Below are 18,362 nucleotides of genomic sequence, written 5' to 3'. Positions count from 1 at the left end.
GACCCTCCCACTCTGGCCCTATATCCCTTGCGCAGAGCAGGAACTAGATAGAAAAAGGACTTATAAAGACAAACATGGGCCTAGTGCAGTGGCTCACGCTTGTAATCCAGCACTTTGGGAGGCGGAGGCAAGCAGATCACTTGAGGTCAGGAGTTCCAGACCAGCCTGGCCGACATGGTGAAACCCCTTCTCTACTAAAAATACAAAAATTAGCCGGGCATGGTGGTGGGCACCTATAATCCCAGCTACTCTGTAGGCTGAGGTGCAAAAAACGCTTGAACCCAGGAGGCGGAGGTTGCAGTGACGCGAGATCCTGCCACTGCACTCCAGCCTGGGTGACGGAGCAAGACTCCATCTAAAAAAATAAATAAATATAAATAAATAAAGACAAATATGATTCCCATCCGTGAAGAACAACCCTTGATATGAGATGTGTCTCTACTGGGCTTTCAGAGACAGGTGGCCTTTTCCTGCCCCAACCCAGTCCCATCGTGAGCCTCTTGCCTTCCTTGCCTTTCCTCCTCTTCCTTCCTCTTTCCTCTCTTGCCTTTTTGTAAGGTTTCAGCAATCTCATTGCCACCGTCATCAGCTTCAGCCCAGCAACTGTTTATTGAGCATCTATTATGCACCCAGTGTTTCACATACATCATCTCATAATCCTCCAACATGCTATGGAGTAGATTCGGTTATTAGCTTAATTTTGCAGATGAGGAAAAGGAGACTGAGAGATTAAGGGAATTCCCCCAATAGTAGAGTATAGATTCAAACCCTGTAGGAGTTTATAACACCTTCACTGCACGGTAGAGAGTATAAGTCTCTACTTGACCCGAAAGCAGTGCTTTTTTTTTTTTGAGACAGAGTCTTGCTCTGTCTCCCAGGCTGGAGTGCAGTGACACGATCTCAGCTCACTGCAACCTCCGCCTCCCAGGTTTAAGCGATTCTCCTGCCTCAGCCTCCAGAGTAGCTGGGACTACAGGCGTGTGCCAATATGCCCAGATAATTTTTGTACTTTTAGTGGAGACAGGGTTTTGCCATGTTGGCCAGGCTGGTCTCGAACTCCTGACCTCAGGTGATCCGCCTGCCTCAGCCTCCCAAAGTGCTGTTATTAGATTATAGGTGTGAGTCAACCTGGCCAAAAGCAGTGCTTATAACCTCTGCAGTCGCTCCAGACAGAAACCTAAAATACACAATGCATGTGTGAGGCCTTTAAAGAGGCCACTAGTTCAGCTCGCTAAGGCCACTCAGCCAAAAGACGTGACACGGGGAGTGGCAGCAAGTAGAATCTTTGGGACCAGGGAAGATGGAGAAGAGGGAAATCTTAGAACTGCACAGGGACAACACAGGCTCACAATGTCAATGTCATTCAATGGCAATTAAGAGCAATACCCAGATAGCCTGAATCGACACACAACGGGCCAGCAAGGTGGCTGCTCTGTGTGTGCAAACCTTTCCAGGGACTTGGCCTTGGAGGCCCCAATGGACAGGTGCTCAGCATTCAGGCCAGCAAGCCTTATCTGGGCCACAAGTTCAAAGCAAGCCTCCTGACCTATGAAAGGGGATCACGGGGCCAGACTCTGCTCTTCACAGGTAATGTGCAAGGTTGTCTATTAAATGGCAGTTAGGCTGGCTGGCTTTTACTACTTTACCTGTAAACCAGAGGAATGTGTTTTCCTTCACTGTGTGGTCAACTTTGTCCTTGATCTGGCCCACCAGACTGTCCATCTCCCAGAGCCCTGCACCATACAGGCTTCTGCCCCGTGGCGCTGCTGGTAGCTGAGTCACAGGTAAGGGCACGTGCATGTGGGCCAGAGCCACATAGAGCAGGAAGGGCCTCCCGCTGGTGCTGAAACAGGAGAACCAAGAGGTGACTCTGCAGAAGGCTCTCCTGGCTCATCTGGTGCCTCAGGGATCCTCCCTCTCCTCCAGGAAAATCCCCAAAGCTCCTTCTGCCCCACGGGCTCAAGAAGGACACATTTATCCAGAATCTTCCAAGGAAATGTGAAAGCAATCTGGTTAGCCAATTAAAAATGAGAATTGTAATAACAGTTACTATCCCTTATCATTTACTGAGAGCTTATTATATGGGAATCACATTGTCTAGGTTCGTCCTCATCATAGCCCCGTTTTTCAGATGAAGAATCAGAAGCTTAGAGATTAAAGGACTTGCCCAGGATATGCAATTAGTTACATGTCCGAATCTTGCTCTTAACTGCCACACTGTAAAGTCTAAGGCACACACACACACCTTTAAATTTTATTTTGCAGCATCCAGACTATCCTGTCCATTCTCAGCCTCTCATTCCTTTCTTTCTTTTTTTTGGAGACAGAGTCGCACTCTTGTCGCCCAGGCTGGAGTGCAGTGGCGCGATATTGTCACACTGCAACTTCCGCCTCCTGGGTTCAAGCGATACTCCCGCCTCAGCCTCCTGAGTAGCTGGAATTACAGGTGCCCACCCCCATGCCCGTCTAATTTTGTATTTTTAGTAGAGATGGGGTTTTGCTACGTTGGCTAGGTTGGCCTCAAACTCCTGACCTCGGGTGAGCTGCCCTCCTCGGCCTCCCAAAGTGCTGGGATTACAGGCGTGAGCCACTGTGCCTGGCCAGCCTTGTTCCTTTCTAAGAGATAAATGGTTGTCTCAAGTTGATCACAGGAATTTCAAGGACACATATGACCACCAGGTAACATCTAGATCAGGGATCTGTCAGAGGCCTTGTTGTTCGGCTGCCTCTGTACTCATCCTGATTTCCCTGGAAAGTGCAGAATGAAAGGCTTGGAGGGAGCTGGCGTGGCTTCCAAGCAAAGGTCCCAGTCCTACTCCCAGCCAAGAGCAGCTGCAGAATCACAACGGTGGCAGGGACCTTCAGGGGGCCCCTCTCCCACAGATCCATCCATGGGGGGTCTTTCAGAGGACACCAAACAAGGGTATTGGGAGAGTACAGAGTCAACAACATTCTGGTGGGGGTAGATGCATGGCCCTTTCATACTAGTTCACGCAGAGATTCAGTTGGCCCCAGGGTTCTCCTTAGCTCACCCTGGTTTACACCACCTTACAGCCTTGCTCTATAGCCAACTGTGCCCTCAAATCCCCCCTGCACCCTGGCTCCCAGGGTCTGCCGCCTGGGACTGTGCTTGCACTCAGTTCTCTTTGCTATGCATAAAACCCTGGACACAAGTCCCAAGACAGGGGCGTCTGCCTTCCCCATTTTAATCCACACTTTCTCTGCAACATTGCTAGAGTTGTGTTGTTCAGGGCAGCAGCCACAAGTCACATGTACCTATTTAGATTTAAATTAATGAAAATTAAATCATATTAAAAGTTCCATGGCCCACACGCTAGCACATGGGTGGACCCGGAAAATATTATGCTAAGTGAAATAATCCAGTCACCAAGAAACAAATAATTGTATGATTCCACTTGTGTGAGGTACCCATAATAGTCAAATTCATAGAGAGAAGGTAGGATGGTGAGTGGCGGGGCACTGCGGGGAAGAAAAACTGGGCAGTTTATGTTTCATGGGTACAGTTTCAGTTAGAAAAAATGAAACAGTTCTGAAGATGGATAGTGGTAATTGTTGCAAAACAAAGTGAATGTTTAATGCGACAGAACTTTACATTTAAAATGGTTAAGATGGTAACATTTTATGATTATATATATCTGTATATATACATACCCACAATAAAATACACACACACACACACACACACACACACATACATAAATTCCTAGCCACATTTCAAATGCTCAGCAGCAGCAGGTGGCTAGAGGCTAGCAGCTTGGACAGTGCAGATAGAAAACATCTCCATTCTTGCCTAGTTTTTTCGTACAGCAATGATTTGCAGTGCCTGATGCCAACTCTCCCAGGGATGGTCATGTACAGTTGTGCAGGTTGTGGCCTGCATCAGGACATCCTGCTGAGTGAATGGGTCCTTATTTCCAGCTTACAATCTACTGGCTGGTTACCCTGCACAGGGCAGTGCCTGGCCAGTGGGGGTGGCTTTTTTTAATTTTCAGGTAGATTCCATATTGCAGTGGTGCCTAGATCTGGCTCAAATTTCAAGTATTTTGCAAACCAGTTGTTAAACATGGCCATTGCTAAAAATTCAATTATAAAAGTCCACAATTAAATAAATTTTATTTTATTTTATTTTTTTGCCAGGCGTAGTGGCTCACACCTGTAATCCCAGCACTTTGGGAGGCCGAGGCAGGCGGATCATTTGAGGTCAGGAGTTTGAGACCAGCTGGGCCAAGATGGCAAAACCCTGCCTCTACTAACAAATACAAAAATTAGCCAGGCGTGGTGGCAGGTGCCTGTAATCCCAGCTACTCGGGAGGCTGAGGCAGGGAGAACCACTTGAAACCAGGAGGCAGAGGTTGCAGTGAGCCAAGATTGTGCACTGCACTCCAGCCTGGGCGACAGAGCGAGACTCTGTCTCAAAAAAAAAATAAATTAAATAAATCAATAATATTTTTTGAAAGTAGTACATTCTCACCATTTATCACTTCCCAACTACTACATTCTGCTATGATGTAGGCTCATGGGGTTATTTACATCTATTGTATCTGTGTGGTGGAAATAACACACAATGGCTTGCTACTGCCCATCATTTTTCAATGCCATATTCGGTGACATCTCCATAGCTGGAAATCAGCCATGGTGAGATTGAGTATTTACACCTCAGGAATTGGCAAATGCTACAGACTGCAGCTGTTTTCTTAGAAATCAGCTCACCATGTGTATGGGCGAGGGGTGGTCCTGCTGTCCACCCTTCATCATCCATCATCATCTTCCAAACTCTCACCCATTATCAAAGTCACATTAGCACCCTGAGCCAGAGGCTTACAGAGACAGGCAGTTATGAGAGATGGCAGAGCACAGGCTGATGAAGAGCACAGGCTTGAGAATCCTGCATCCAAACCTCCAGATTTGTTATTTCATGACTGTGTAGCCCTGGACAATTAACTTAACCTCTGTCATCTATAAAATGGGGACAATCAGACCTCCCCAACAAAGTTGTGTAACTTCCCACACTAAGCATCTAATAAATGGTAGCTTATTTTGTTGTTGTTTTTTGTTTCTGAGACGGAGTCTCGCTCTGTCTCCCAAGCTGGAGTGCAGTGGCGCGATCTTGGCTCACTACAACCTCCGCCTCCCAGGTTCAAGCAATTCTCCTGCCTCAGCCTCCCGAGTAGCTGGGACTACAGGCATGCACGCCACCACACCTGGCTAATTTTTGTATTTTTAGTAGAGATGAGGTTTTGCCATGTTGGCCAGGCTGGTCTCGAACTCCTGACTTCAAGTGATCTGCCTGCCTTAGCCTCCCAAAGTGCTGGGGTTACAGGCATGAGCCACTGCGCCCGACCGCTTCCTTGTTAAGAATGTTGAATACATGCCAGCAGTAGTAAGCATAAATGATGCCCAAGGATGTACCTCTCTCCCTGCATCCTGATGCCAGGCTAGATTCCAAAACATGGCATCAGGCAGAGCCCACACAGACTAGTCCCTTGGGGGCATCTGTCCCGCAAGCCACCTCTTCATTATGCACCTGTGCTGAATGGAAAATAGAGTGGGGGGACACCTGATGCTTTAAAAAAATACTGATTATATCACAGTGTGACTCCACTTTTGTTTTCTAAAACACATTCATTTCAACTATACCTTAATAAAACCAGGGAAACATATGTTTATGCACCAGCATAGAATGAGGCTAGAAGAACATACTCGGAGGTATTAAAACAGGTTATCCTCACACTTGTAATCCCAGAACTTTTGGAAGGCCGAGGTGGGTGGATCACCTGAGGTCAGGAGTTCAAGACCAGCCTGGCCAACATGGTGAAACCCTGTCTCTACTAAAAATACAAAAATTAGCCAGGCATGGTGACGCGTGCCTGTAATCCCAGCCAGCAAGAGAATGGCTTGAACCCAGGAGGCGGAGGTTGCAGTGAGCCCAGATTGTGCCACTGCACTCCAGCCTAGGCAACAGAGCAAGACTCTGTCTCAAATAAACAAAAAACAAAACAACAACAACAACAACAAAAAACAGGTTATCTCTGGGATGGAATTCAGGGTGATTTTTTTTTGTTTGCTTGTCTCAGTTTTCCGAGATTACTAAAGGGAACACATGCTATTTTTGTGGGAAAACAAGTGGAATGGTGAGTAGAGAAGGAAAAAAACAAGTAAGATGACAGAGGGGACATTCCAGGAGAGCAAGAGGATGGGGCAGGGTGTGGAGACAGGGTGTGGAGAAGATTATGGTGCAGGGACCGTTAAGGCTGGGGAAAATCATCTGATCCGAAATGGAAGAGGGCAGGTGAGAGGCACCCATCTCTCAAGAAGTGTCCCCAGATGGTGCCTGGGTGGAGGGAGGCAGGCCTGGAGGTGAAGGCAGGGCTTCCCTCATGCAGGGGGAAATGAACACCTGCAGCTCTCAGCCCACTGGCCTCTCTGGTGGTGGCTCCCTGGGGATGGATGGGCAAGGGGTCTCTCTGAAATGGACTGCTGCAATAACCACTTGTCCCCCGCCCCACCATTTTGCCATCTTCCACTAGACCCTGGCATCACAGACAACCTTCTCTAACCCAGACTTGATCTGGCAGATCTCTATTTAGAAACGTACTAGGGCTCGGCCAGGCACGATGGCTCACGCCTGTAATCCCAGCACTTTGGGAGGCCGAGGCAGTTGGATCACCTAAGGTCAGGAGTTCGAGACCAGCCTGACCAACATGAAGAAACCCCATCTCTACTAAAAATACAAAATTAGCTGGGCATGGTGGTGCATGCCTGTAATCCCAGCTACTCGGGAGGCTGAGGCAGGAGAATTGCTTGAACCTGGGAGGCAGAGGTTGCGGTGAGCCGAGATCGCGCCATTGCACTCCAGCCTGGGCAACGAGAGCAAAACTCCATCTCAAAAAAGAAAGAAGAAAGAAACAAAAGAAACGTACTAGGGCTCATTGCAGCCTGCAGGGTCAATCCAAACTCCTCACCCAGTCTTTGCAGCTTTCCCTATCTCCGTCCCTTCCAGCCTGACCTTCCTTCCCTGTCAAAGACTCTTTCTATATGCCAGTGTCCCAAGCACCTCACCTACTTCCTGTGCCTCATCTATGTTATTCCTCTCTCAGCAGTATTCTCCCTGTTATCTTGCCCCAAAACACTTAATCAGTTCTTAAGATCCAATTCCAAAGCCACCAATAGTCCTCCTCCTTTGCTCCCAGGTCATGGTTGGCTGCCTCCTCTCTGCCCCCATCCCTGCCATAGCCCTTTTCCCTGCTTCTTGCGGTATTAATAAGATACAAACAACCTGCATTAAAGCCATGTTTTTACATATCTGTTTCCCCACTAGCTTGGGAATCACTCAGAGACTGGACATGTCTAATTCACGTTTGAATCCCTGGCACAGCACCAGCACATCACTGGAGCTGGATAAGTAACTCACTCATTCATTCATTCATTCATTAAATATTTATTAAGCTCTAACTGGGCACTGGGGACAGAGGAATGAGCACAATAGATATGATTTCCACCCTCTTGGAGTTTAACATCTAATTGAGACCAGGAAAGAGAAAAAGGCAACTAAAATATAAATAAGATGATTATTTAAAAAGTTAGTATAGGCAGCGCATCCCAAATCTGAAAATCCAAAATACTCCAAACTCCGAAACTGTTTGAGCACTGACCTGACACTCAAAGGAAATACTCATGGGAGGATTAGGGATGCTCAGCCGGTTAAGTATAATGCAAATAGTCCAAACTCTTTAAAAATCCAAAATCTGAAATACTTCTGGTCCCAAGCATTCCAGATACGGAATACTCAGCCCGTAGGAGAGATGGAAGAGAAATACAAGTTGCTGTGGAAGGTGTAACAGGGGAACCAAATGGGGTTTGGGGTGTGGAGGGGAGGGAAAGATCCCTGAGACAGTGGGACCTGGAGGACGGTGTGTGGTGACCACACAAGGCAGAGAACATAGCCCTGGGGGAGACGTTCGATATGATTGCCTCGCTAGTCATTAGTTTATTCTCTCACTCACTAGAGATCCGTCTCTGCATTCAAACAGGAGAAAGGAGAAAGAGGGGTTGGGGGTGAGTATGGTCTTTGGATCTGAACCTGGATCCCTGACATAGGTTGGTGTCGGGTGGGAGCCGGGTGAGAGGCAAGATGAGGAGGGGGCAGCACCACAGCAGGGGCACTTAGGCAAGCATGGGGGCCAGCAATGAAGACGGATAGTGAGTCAAGGAAAACGGAGAATTCTGCAGATCCCAGGCATGAGCTCATGAAGGCTGGAACATGTCTTTCATCTCTGCATCCTGAGGACCTAGTTCCAAAAGATGCGTGTCCTGTGTCTTAGCCTGCTAGGGACGCTATAACAAAATACCACTCCCTGGGGTGGCTTAGTATACAACCATCGACTTCTCCCAATTCTGTTTTTTGGGTTTTGTTGTTGTTGTTGTTTTTGTTTGTTTGTTGTTGTCATGGTTCTTTCTGAGAGTTTCGCTCTTGTTGCCCAGGCTGGAGTGTAATGGCATGATCTCGGCTCACTGCAACCTCCGTCTCCTGGGTTCAAGCATTCTCCTACCTCAGCCTCTCAAGTAGCTGGGATTACAGGCATGTGCCACCATGACCGGCTAATTTTTGTATCTTTAATAGAGATGGGGTTTCACCATGTTGGCCAGGCTGATCTCGAACTTCTTCTGACTGCATGTGATCTACCCACCTCGGCCTCCCAAAGTGCTGGGATTACAGGCGTGAGCCACCGTGCCTGGCCTTTTTTTTCTTTTTCCAGGTTCTAGACTGCAGAAGGACCTATTTGTTTGTTTGTTTGTTTGTTTTGTTGTGTTTTTTGTAGAGATGGGGGTGGTCTCACTATGTTGTGCAGACTGGTCTTGAACGCCTGAGCTCAAGCAATCTCCTACCCTTGGCCTCCCAAAGTGTTGGGATTACAGGCATGAGCCACCACGCCTGACTTTACGTCTCCCAGTTCTAGAGGCTGGGAAGTCCACTGTCTGGTAAGGGGCTGATTCTTGGCTTATTAACAGACAAGTGTCTTCCCACTGTATCCTCACATGGCCAGGAGAGAGCACACCAGAGTCTCTTTCTCTTCTTTTAATACAAACACTAATCCCAACATGGGGGCTTCACTCTCATGATCTTATCTAAACCTAATTTCCTCCTAATGGCCCCACCTCCTAATACCACCCCATTAAGGGTTAGGATTTCAATGTGTAGTACATGACACCATGGAAGATTGATTTGTTTGAAAGGTCTGATTTCAGGCCGGGCACGGTAGCTCACACCCGTAATCCCAGCACTTTGGGAGGCCGAGGCAGGTAGATCACCTGAGGTTGGGAGTTCGAGACAAGCTTGGCCAACATGGTGAAACGCCGTCTCTACTAAAAATACAAAAATTAGCTGGGTGTGGTGGCGGGCGCCTGTAATCCCAGCTACTCGGGAGGCTGAGGCAGGAGAATCGCTTGAACCCAGGAGGCAGAGGTTGCAGTGCGCCAAGATTGCAACACTGCACTCCAGTCTGGGTGACAAGAGCGAGACTCAGTCTCAAAAAAAGAAAACTAAGAAATGTCTGATTTCAAACATGCTGGGCCGCTGCTCATCCTGATGCCCGATACACTCCTGCTTATCAAGCCCTGTATTGCCCGCGTAGGTGCAATGCACGGTCCCAGACCTCAAAAGGAACAGAGGCCCAGCTAGCTCTGTGACCCAGGAGTCATGCCTTCTACCGGCTCCTTTTCCCATTCAGAGATTTGCCTGCTGCTTAAAAAACTCCAATCAAGCATTAGCATTCAGCATTGCTACCAGATGAAGGGTCTAAAGTCAAGTAAACTGAATGACCAGCAGTGATAACCAAGTACTACGTCGAGGGTCTTGGGTGAAACACTAAAGCCAACTAAAGACCCAAGTAAAAACTCCCTAAGTCCCAGGGTGGGCCCCCTTGTCAAGGAAGAGCGGGAAGCCACACTCTAGGGACAGCTGGTGGTTTTGAAAAACAGGTCCAAGGTGGGGGAGGGGCTTGAGGCAGGGGCCAGAGTCATGGAGGAGGAAGGGCATGGACCTGAGGGCCTTTTCTGCTGATGCTCAGAAAATCATTTGGCATGTGGAAATCCCAAAGAAATCAGCATTTCTGGGGATTTCCTTCTGTGATGTTAAATGCCAACAGGACTCGGGACTTTTCACTTAATAACCAGCTAATGAATTAACAAAACTGTTCCCCTTTTTTGTATAATAAGGAGGCTGTCGGTTGATTTGCCCTTTAATGGATTAATTAACGGGTGGATGTCCAGGCCCTATGCCCACTTCGGAGGGGGCATTAAACGGCCCCGAGTCCCCATTCCTTCCCCTAAGAACACAGTGTCGTTTGAGTCACCACAAAAGCAGAAGAGACTGTCCCCACTAGCCTTGAAGCATCCACGTGCCATGGGGCACAGGGGCCCGAAACCATCCCAAAGTTCCAGGGAGCTGGGAGACGCTCAACCCTCCAGATGGCAGAAGAGGCTCTGCCCTTTCTACTATTGACAATCTGAAATAAAACAACAGTGTTCTCAGAAAGTCCTGATAAACCCTTAAGATGCAATTTCTGAAGCCCTTAGGAGCTGCTTTTGAGATTCAATCCTTAAATAGGTTTTATTACCAAGAAAACAGGATGCCTGGATCTCCTGCATTGCTGCCTCAACCCTCCCTGCTGAGCTTCTAAAAACGTCCAATGTGGCTGAGCGAGGGGTGGGGGATTCCTGCATATTCAAGGGGCTGCTGTGATCACTTAGCCACAGGTAGAGTCCCTTTTTAATTCTGCCCAAGTGGACAGCCGTGCAGCACGTGCTTTCTTGACCACTTAGGCTAAGGCTGTAGAAAACACCAAGTTTCTTGGAGTCCATTGCCCTTGAGGAGTGGAATCTCCTAGGAGGAAGATAAGATGAACATATATGGGGTCATTAGAGGGCAGCAGAAGGCAGTTATGAAGGGGGCGGGGAGGGTGACTGTGTGTGCATGTGTGCAGGTACACGTGTGTGTGTGCACTTGCACCCCACAGTCTATGGGTGTGCATTCCAAATAAGTGTGCACAATTTTGGAGTTGTCCATTATTTCACAATGTCCATTCTTTGCCCTGACACCTCACACGTATATGATTTATTAGAGATAGACTGTGGTATGGTTTTGTTTTTGCTTTTTTGTTTTTTGGGTTTTGGGGTAGTTTTGTTGTTGTTGTTGTTGTTGTCGTTTTGAGATGGAGTCTCACACTGTCGCCCAGGCTGGAGTGCAGTGGCCTGATCTCGGCTCACTGCAAGCTCCACCTCCCGGGTTCACGCCATTCTCCTGCCTCAGCCTCCCGAGTAGCTGGGACTACAGGCGTCCGCCACCACGCCTGGCTAATTTTTTGTATTTTTAGTAGAGACGGGGTTTCATCGTGTTAGCCAGGATGGTCTCGATCTCCTGACCTCGTGATCCACCTGCCTCAGCCTCCCAAAGTGCTGGGATTACAGGCGTGAGCCACCACGCCCAGCCGGTTTTGGGGGTTTTTTAAGAGACAGGCTCTCCATGTGTCAGGCTGGAGTACGGTGGCACCATTATGGCTCACTGCAGCCTTGAACTCCTGGACTCAAGTGATTCTCCCAGTTCAGCCACCCGAGTTAGCTGGCACTACAGATTCACACAACTATGCTCAGCTATTTAATAACTTGTATTAATTTTTTTTTTTGAGACAGAGTCTTGCTCTGTCGCCCAGGCTGGAGTGCGGTGGCACAATCTGGGCTCACTGCAACCTCCACCTCCCGGGCTCAAGTGATTCTCCTACCTCAGCCTCCAAAATAGTTGGGACTACAGATGGGTGCCACCACTCCCAGCTAATTTTTGTATTTTTAGTAGACACAGGGTTTCACCGTGTTGGTCAGGCTGGTTTCGAACTCCTGAATTCAGGTGATCTGCCTGCCTTGGCCTCCCAAAGTGCTGGGATTACAGACGTGAGCCACCGCGCCCAGCCACTTTTTATAATTTTTTGTAAAGACAAGGTCTCACCAGGTTGTCCAGGCTAGTCTGGAATTCCTGGCCTCGAGCGATCCTGGAGGATTACCCAGTGTAATCCCAAAGCACTGGGATTACAGGTAGGAGCCACCGCACACAGCCCACTTCTTTGTTTTTCTTATTTACCTTTATTTTATTTTATTTTTCATTTTATATTTTTTTTGAGACAGGGTCTCGCTCTGTCACCCAGGCTGGAATGCAGTGACACAATCTTGGCTCACTGCAACCTATGCCTCCCAGGCTCAAGTGATCCTCCATCCTCAGCCTACCAAGTAGCTGGAACAACATGTGCAGATCACCACGCCCAGCTAATTTTTGTATTGCTTGTAGCGACAGAGTTTCACCATGTTGCCCAGCTAGTCTTGAACTCCTAGACTCAAACAATCTGCCCATCTTGGCCTCCCAAAGTGCTGGGATTATAGGCATGAGCTACCACCCCCAGCCTTTTGTTAATTAGTAGTTTCTAATATTTCAAGATCAGGAGATTTCACATAAAAGCCAGGTATCCTATCTCTGTTGTAAAATGAAAAGATGTGATATTCCAGGTTCACATTTTCACAAAGAAGCACCAAGCAGCTGGAGCTAGGTAGTAGCTGCCCCCTTCAGATGGGGCATGTGCTTACAGGTTCACTGTAGACCCCACCACTCCCTAATGCCTTACGTTCATCCTGCTTCCCTCTTTAAGGTTACCTATCTGTGCCTTCTAGATGCGGGAATTTGTAACTTCTGTCTGGTAGAATGAAGGATAGCTCCCAAAGATAAGCAGGGTCTAATTCCTGGAATCTGTGAATGTTACGGTATATGGCAAAAGAGAGTTTTCAGGTGGAATTATGTTAAGGGTCTTGAGGTAGGGGGATCACCTTGGATTCTCCTGGTGGACCCTAAACGCCATCACAAGTGCTATCGTAAGTGGGAGCCAGAGGGGAGATTTGACTGAAGATGCAAGTGAACAACAGAATTAGAGTTGAGAATGATATGGCCATAGCTCAGAAATGCCAGAAGCTGGAAAAGGCAAGGAAGGAATCCTCCCTAGAGACTCCCCAAGAAAACAGTCCTGCTGATGCCTTGATTTTAGCCCCCTAAGACTCATTTCAGACATCTGGCCTCCAGATCTGTAGCAGGGTAAGTTACTGTTGTTTTAGCTACTAAATTAGTGGTTGGTTGTTACAGCAGCAATGGAAAAGTAATACATCCTGCCAGCTAGTGAGCTCAACAAATGCCTTGAGTGCCCAGAGTGCAGTGGGCAGGCCCTACCCTTGAGGAGCTCGTACCCTAGAAGGAGAGGACAAAATGATCATGGCAGTGGAACGTGATCAAAGCAACAGAGGGATAAGCCCCAGGGACTCTAGGAACATACCTGAGGAATCTCTAATCCAGGACCGCAGATTTCCAGAAGGGGCTGTTTTCCAGCTTTACTTATAGGAGACATGTATGCATCCATCTCTGCTGAGCAGCAAAACTCTGCCATGGCCTCAAGCGTGCTGAGGCCAAGGGACATGGTGTGTGTGCACGGGTAGGTGGAGGCAGGGGGAGGCCCTGCGGAGGGAGGGAGACTCCTCACCTTGCACGCTGGATGAACTGGGTTGCTTTCTCAGCATACTTCTGGGCAAGGCTGCTCAAGTTCACCGGCTGCTCCACAATGTTGAGGTTTTCATAAAGAGGGAGGGCCACGTCAGTGTAACAGTCTCTTTGAAGGTTCCTGTGTGGAAACCACAGACCATAGAGTATTCATTTCCTACGTACTCACGGAGCAGAACTAAATGCTTTAATGCAACAATGCATATGCACATAAATACAACACTCTGGCCCCAAATGATTTTTCTGGTTGGCCATTTCCTCCAAGTGTAAAAGTCTATGCATAATGCTTTCTTCCATTCCCTTTGAATAGATATTTATGTTCCATGGACGAGCTGACCACTCTGTAAAGCTTGCAAAGACTCTCGTGAGCTAGGGACATTATTTTTTATTACTTGCATTTTGCGGGGAGAGAAACTGAGGTCTAAAGAACCTAAATGATGTCAAGCAGAGTCCCACCACCAATCAGTAGCCCCATTGCTGGCTTTCTCTGCTGTCTCACTTCAATCCCAGCCTCTGTGTATGGCGTGCAACTCAGCGTTTTCCGAAGTCAACAATTGGGACTTCATGTAATAGCAGGTCTGTCAATAGGACAGAATATATAAGATGGGCCAGGTGCAGTGGCTCATGCCTGTGATCCCAGCACTTTGGGAGACCGAGGCCAGCAGATCACTTGAGGTCAGGAGTTCGAGACCAGCCTGGCCAGCAGGGTGAAACCCTGTCTCTACTAAAAATACAAAAATTAGCTGGGCATGGCAGTGCACATCTGTAATCCCAGCTACTCAGGAGGCTGAGGCAGGAGAATCATTTGAACCCGGGAGGCGGAGGTTGCAGTGAACTGAGATCATCCCACTGCACTCTACCCTGGGTGACAGAGTGAGACTCCATCTCAAAAATAAATAAATACATAAAAAGGAATACATAAGATGGGTTGGGACAATTTTAATTTTAAGCCATGTTTGCAGAATTTGGAGAAACTTCAGCAGTTGGAAAAAAAATAAGAGTCAAACTAATAACATCTCCTGGAAAAAAAAAAAAAACAAGCTCATGGCCAGACGCCGTGGCTCACGCCTGTAATCCCAATACTTTGGGAGGCTGAGGCAGGCAGATCACCTGAGGTCAGAAGTTCAAGACCAGGCCAGGCACAGTGGCTCATGCGTGTAATCCCAGAACTTTGGGAGGCCAAGGCGGGTGGATCACCTAAGGTCAGGAGTTCAAGACCAGCCTGGCCAACATGGTGAAACCCCATCTCTACTAAAAATACAAAAATTAGCCGTGGTGCTGCACGCCTGTAGTCTCAGCTACTCAGGAGGCTGAGGCAGGAGAATTGCTTGAACCTAGGAGGCGGAGGTTGCAGTGAGCTGAGATTGCGCCATTGTACTACAGCCTGGGCGACAAGAGCAAAACTCCATCTCAAAACAAAACAACACAAGCTCAAGTTTTGGTCTTACAGATTGAAATGAATCTGACCCATAGCTGCCCATCAATGTGGCTGAGTCATGGTCTGACTCTGGTCATGATCTCTGGCAAGTTACTTAAGCTCCCAGAGTTATCTCCTTATCCGTAGCATTGGAGGGCCTGTGCCATCCTTACAGGGGTGCTGGTGGTCTAAGGGAGATAACAAATGGTTAGTGCATTGCACACATCTTCAGTGTATTAGGAATTCTGAAAAATCTCAAGCTCTCAGTCCTGGTCACCAAAGAGAACCAAGAGAGAAGCTGAGAGCAATGCAGACAGAGGTGGTAATGAATGGAGTTCTCTCAGGCAAATACGTCATCCTAATAGTGCTGGGAAGGATTTGTGAAGAAATCAAAACTTGCCATCACACCTACATGCACACACACCCCATTACAGAAATATAGGAGATATGGTCAGACTGTGTGGATAATTGTCAAAAACCACAATTTTTGTTTTGTTTTGTTTTTTTGACACAGGGTCTCACTCTGTCGCCCAGGCTGAAGTGCAGTGGCACAATCTCAGCTCATTGCAGCCTCAAACTCCCATCTTAGTCCCTGAGCAGCTGAGACTATAGGTGTGTGCCACCACACCTGGCTAATTTTTGTATTTTTTGTAAAGAACGGGTTTCACCATGTTGCCCAGGCTGGTCTCAAACTCCTGAGCTCAAGCAATCCACCCACCTCGGCCTCCCAAAGTGCTGGGATTACAGGCATCCCAAATTTTTTAAAAGAGAAAAAGAATTATCACCATGCTGGGCATTAGAACACTAATCGCATATTTATGTTGAATTTTTCAGCTTTTTATTATACCATTGCAACTCCATGAGTCATTTACATTCTTTCCTGTTTTTCTCTCTCTCCTAAGCCACCCATTATTTCTCTGTTTGATTTTTTTTTCTTTTTTTCTTTTTTTTTTTTTTTGAGACAGGATCTGGCTCTGTCACCCAGGCTGAAGTGCAGTGGCATAATCTCAGCTCACTGCAACCTCCTCCTCAAGCCATCCTCCCACCTCAGCCTCCTGTGTAGCTGGGACTACAGGCATGGGCCACCACACCCAGCTAATTTTTGTATTTTCTGTAGAGATGGGGTTTTGTTGTGTTGACCAAGCTGATCTCAAACTCCTGGGTTCACAAGGTCCACCCACCTCAGCCTCCCAAAGTGCTGGGATTACAGGAGTGACCCACTGCACCTGGCTTTCTACTGGATTTTTAACATAGATTAAAAAGAGATTTTTAACATAGATTAAAAATTAAAAAATAAAAATAAAAAAATACAGAAGGAACAGGATTGAAATAAAAAAAAAAAAAAAAAGAACAAGAAGAAGAAAAAGAAGGCCAGGTGCAGTGGCTCATGCCTGTAATCCCAGCATTTCGGGAAGCCGAGGTAGGCAGATCACTTGAGGTCAGGAGTTCAAGACCAGCTTGGCCAACACGGTGAAACCCCATCTCTACTAAAAATACAAAACTCAGCCAGGCATGGTAACACAAGCCTGTAATCCCAGCTACTCAGGTGACTGAGGCAGGAAAATCACTTGAACCTGGGAGGCGGAAATTGTAATGATCAGAGATTGTGCTACTGCACTCCAGCCTGGGCAACAGAACGAGACTCCATCCTTCCAAAAAATAAATTAATTAAAATTTTAAAATTTTAAAAAGAGATTGGCTGACATATGTCATACCTTCATATGGCCAGGTGTGATTACAGGTATGCCCAGCAGGCCACGGTGGGTAAGAAGGGCAGCAGGATGCTCTATAGCCTCGCTTTTCATGCCATAATGTGCAGAATCCCTGGGCTGGTTTTTGTTTTTGTTTTTGTTTTTTGAGACGGGATCTTACTCTGTCACCCAGGGTGAAGTGCAGTGATGCAATCATAGCTCACTGCATGCATAAGTCTTGTTAAAAAGCAGACCTGGGGGTAGGATGTGAATCTGTGCACTTCTACCAAGCATGTAAGTGATATCCACCATGCTGGTTCAATGACTATGCTATGAGTAGCAAAGATAGGAAGGGCATATGGGCTCTGGACTCAGAGAGACCTGGATTGGAATCTCCATTCCTACCTCTTTCCAGCTCCGGTGTAACCTGGGCAACATAAGCTTCCTTATCTGTAAAATCAGGTATCAGGTTGGTGCAAAAGTAATTGTGGTTTTACTTTCAACAGCAAAAACCGCAATTACTTTTGCACCAACCTAAGAAATACCTACCTCACACAGTGGTCACGTGGATTACAGATAAATATAGACAGTGCTTAGAATGTAACAATTTCTCAATAAATACCCACTATTATATTAACTATTGTTTTATAGATAGACGAGCTGAGACTCACCTTTCCCAAGTGGCTCAGACAACTGTAGCCTTAGAAATAACCACAGTGCTCTGTCCGAACAAGGGAACACGTGTTTTGTGCTGCTTTATTACCTGAGTGAGGCTTATCATCTTTTTTTTGTGATCATAAATGCATCTCAGGATACTTAGGAAATACAATGACAAAGAGGAAAATAAAGAGAAAGTGGAGAAAGAGTCACCGCTGGGTGCGGTGACTCACGCCTGAAATCCCAGCACTTTGGGAGGCCGAAGTGGGCAGATCACCTGAGGTCAGGAGTTCAAGACCAGCCTGGCCAACATGGCGAAACCCCGTCTCTTCTAAAAATACAAAAATTAGCCTGGTGTGGTAGTGGGTACCTGTAATCCTAGCTACTCAAGAGGCTGAGGCAAGAGAATCTCTTGAACCAGGGAGGCAGAGGTTGCAGTGAGCCGAGATCGCGCCACTGCGCTCTAGCCTGGGTAAGAGAGCAACACTCCATCTCAAAAAAAAAAAAAAAGAAAGAAAAAAGAAAATGAAAACCCTGAGTCCCACGACCAGAGAGATTCCTTGATAACATTATGGCATATCTCCTTTGAGTCTCCGTTGATAGGACTACAAAGATAGGGTTACAGAGCTCATTAGGATCTTACCGTTGATGACTTGCTTCCTGCTTTTTTTTTTTTTTCACTTACTATTATATCATAAGCATTTTCCCATTTCATTAAATGTTTTTTCAAAACATCCTATTTGGTGCCTGTTTGGCATTCCAACATCAGAATGCTGGCTTAGTTGTCCATGCGGGGAGAAGCTCAAAAGGAATCCTGTTCTCTCTCTCTCTGTCTCTGTCTCTCTCTCTCTCTCTCTCTGTCTCTCTCTCTCTCTCTCTCCTCTGTCTCTCTCTCTCTCTCTCCTCTGTCTCTCTCTCTCTCTCTCTCTCTCTCCTCTGTCTCTCTCTCTCTCTCTCTCCTCTGTCTCTCTCCTCTGCTCTCTCCCTCCCTCCC

General features: G+C 47.2%; 1 protein-coding gene across 44 annotated transcripts in view, besides 1 other annotated feature; it reads right to left on the bottom strand.

Moving 5' to 3' along the window:
- Positions 1-18,362, bottom strand: part of ARSG (arylsulfatase G) — a 192,850-nt gene that overhangs the window by 81,629 nt on the left and 92,859 nt on the right. For 37 of the 44 annotated variants that reach the window (XR_007065287.1, XM_047435644.1, XM_047435647.1 and 34 more), the window contains 2 exons: positions 13,587-13,724; positions 1,647-1,843 (listed from right to left, as the gene is read on the bottom strand). Coding sequence is in view for 43 of the 44 variants with exons in the window: in XM_047435644.1 (XP_047291600.1) it covers positions 1,647-1,843; positions 13,587-13,724 (335 nt within the window). In the remaining variant the exon portion in view is untranslated. The other 7 variants (NM_001352904.2, NM_001352903.2, NM_001352905.2 and 4 more) reach the window with 2 other exon arrangements.
- Positions 13,584-13,643: an enhancer, noted in NCBI's record as "active region_12647". NCBI's record gives its function as "activates an Ori minimal core promoter by ATAC-STARR-seq in GM12878 lymphoblastoid cells {active_cell/tissue: GM12878}" and the evidence as "EXISTENCE:reporter gene assay evidence [ECO:0000049][PMID:35858748]".

Source organism: Homo sapiens, chromosome 17 (genome assembly GCF_000001405.40).
Source record: "Homo sapiens chromosome 17, GRCh38.p14 Primary Assembly".
Classification (NCBI taxonomy): Eukaryota; Metazoa; Chordata; class Mammalia; order Primates; family Hominidae; genus Homo; species Homo sapiens.
This window is presented reverse-complemented; position numbering and strand designations above follow the sequence as displayed.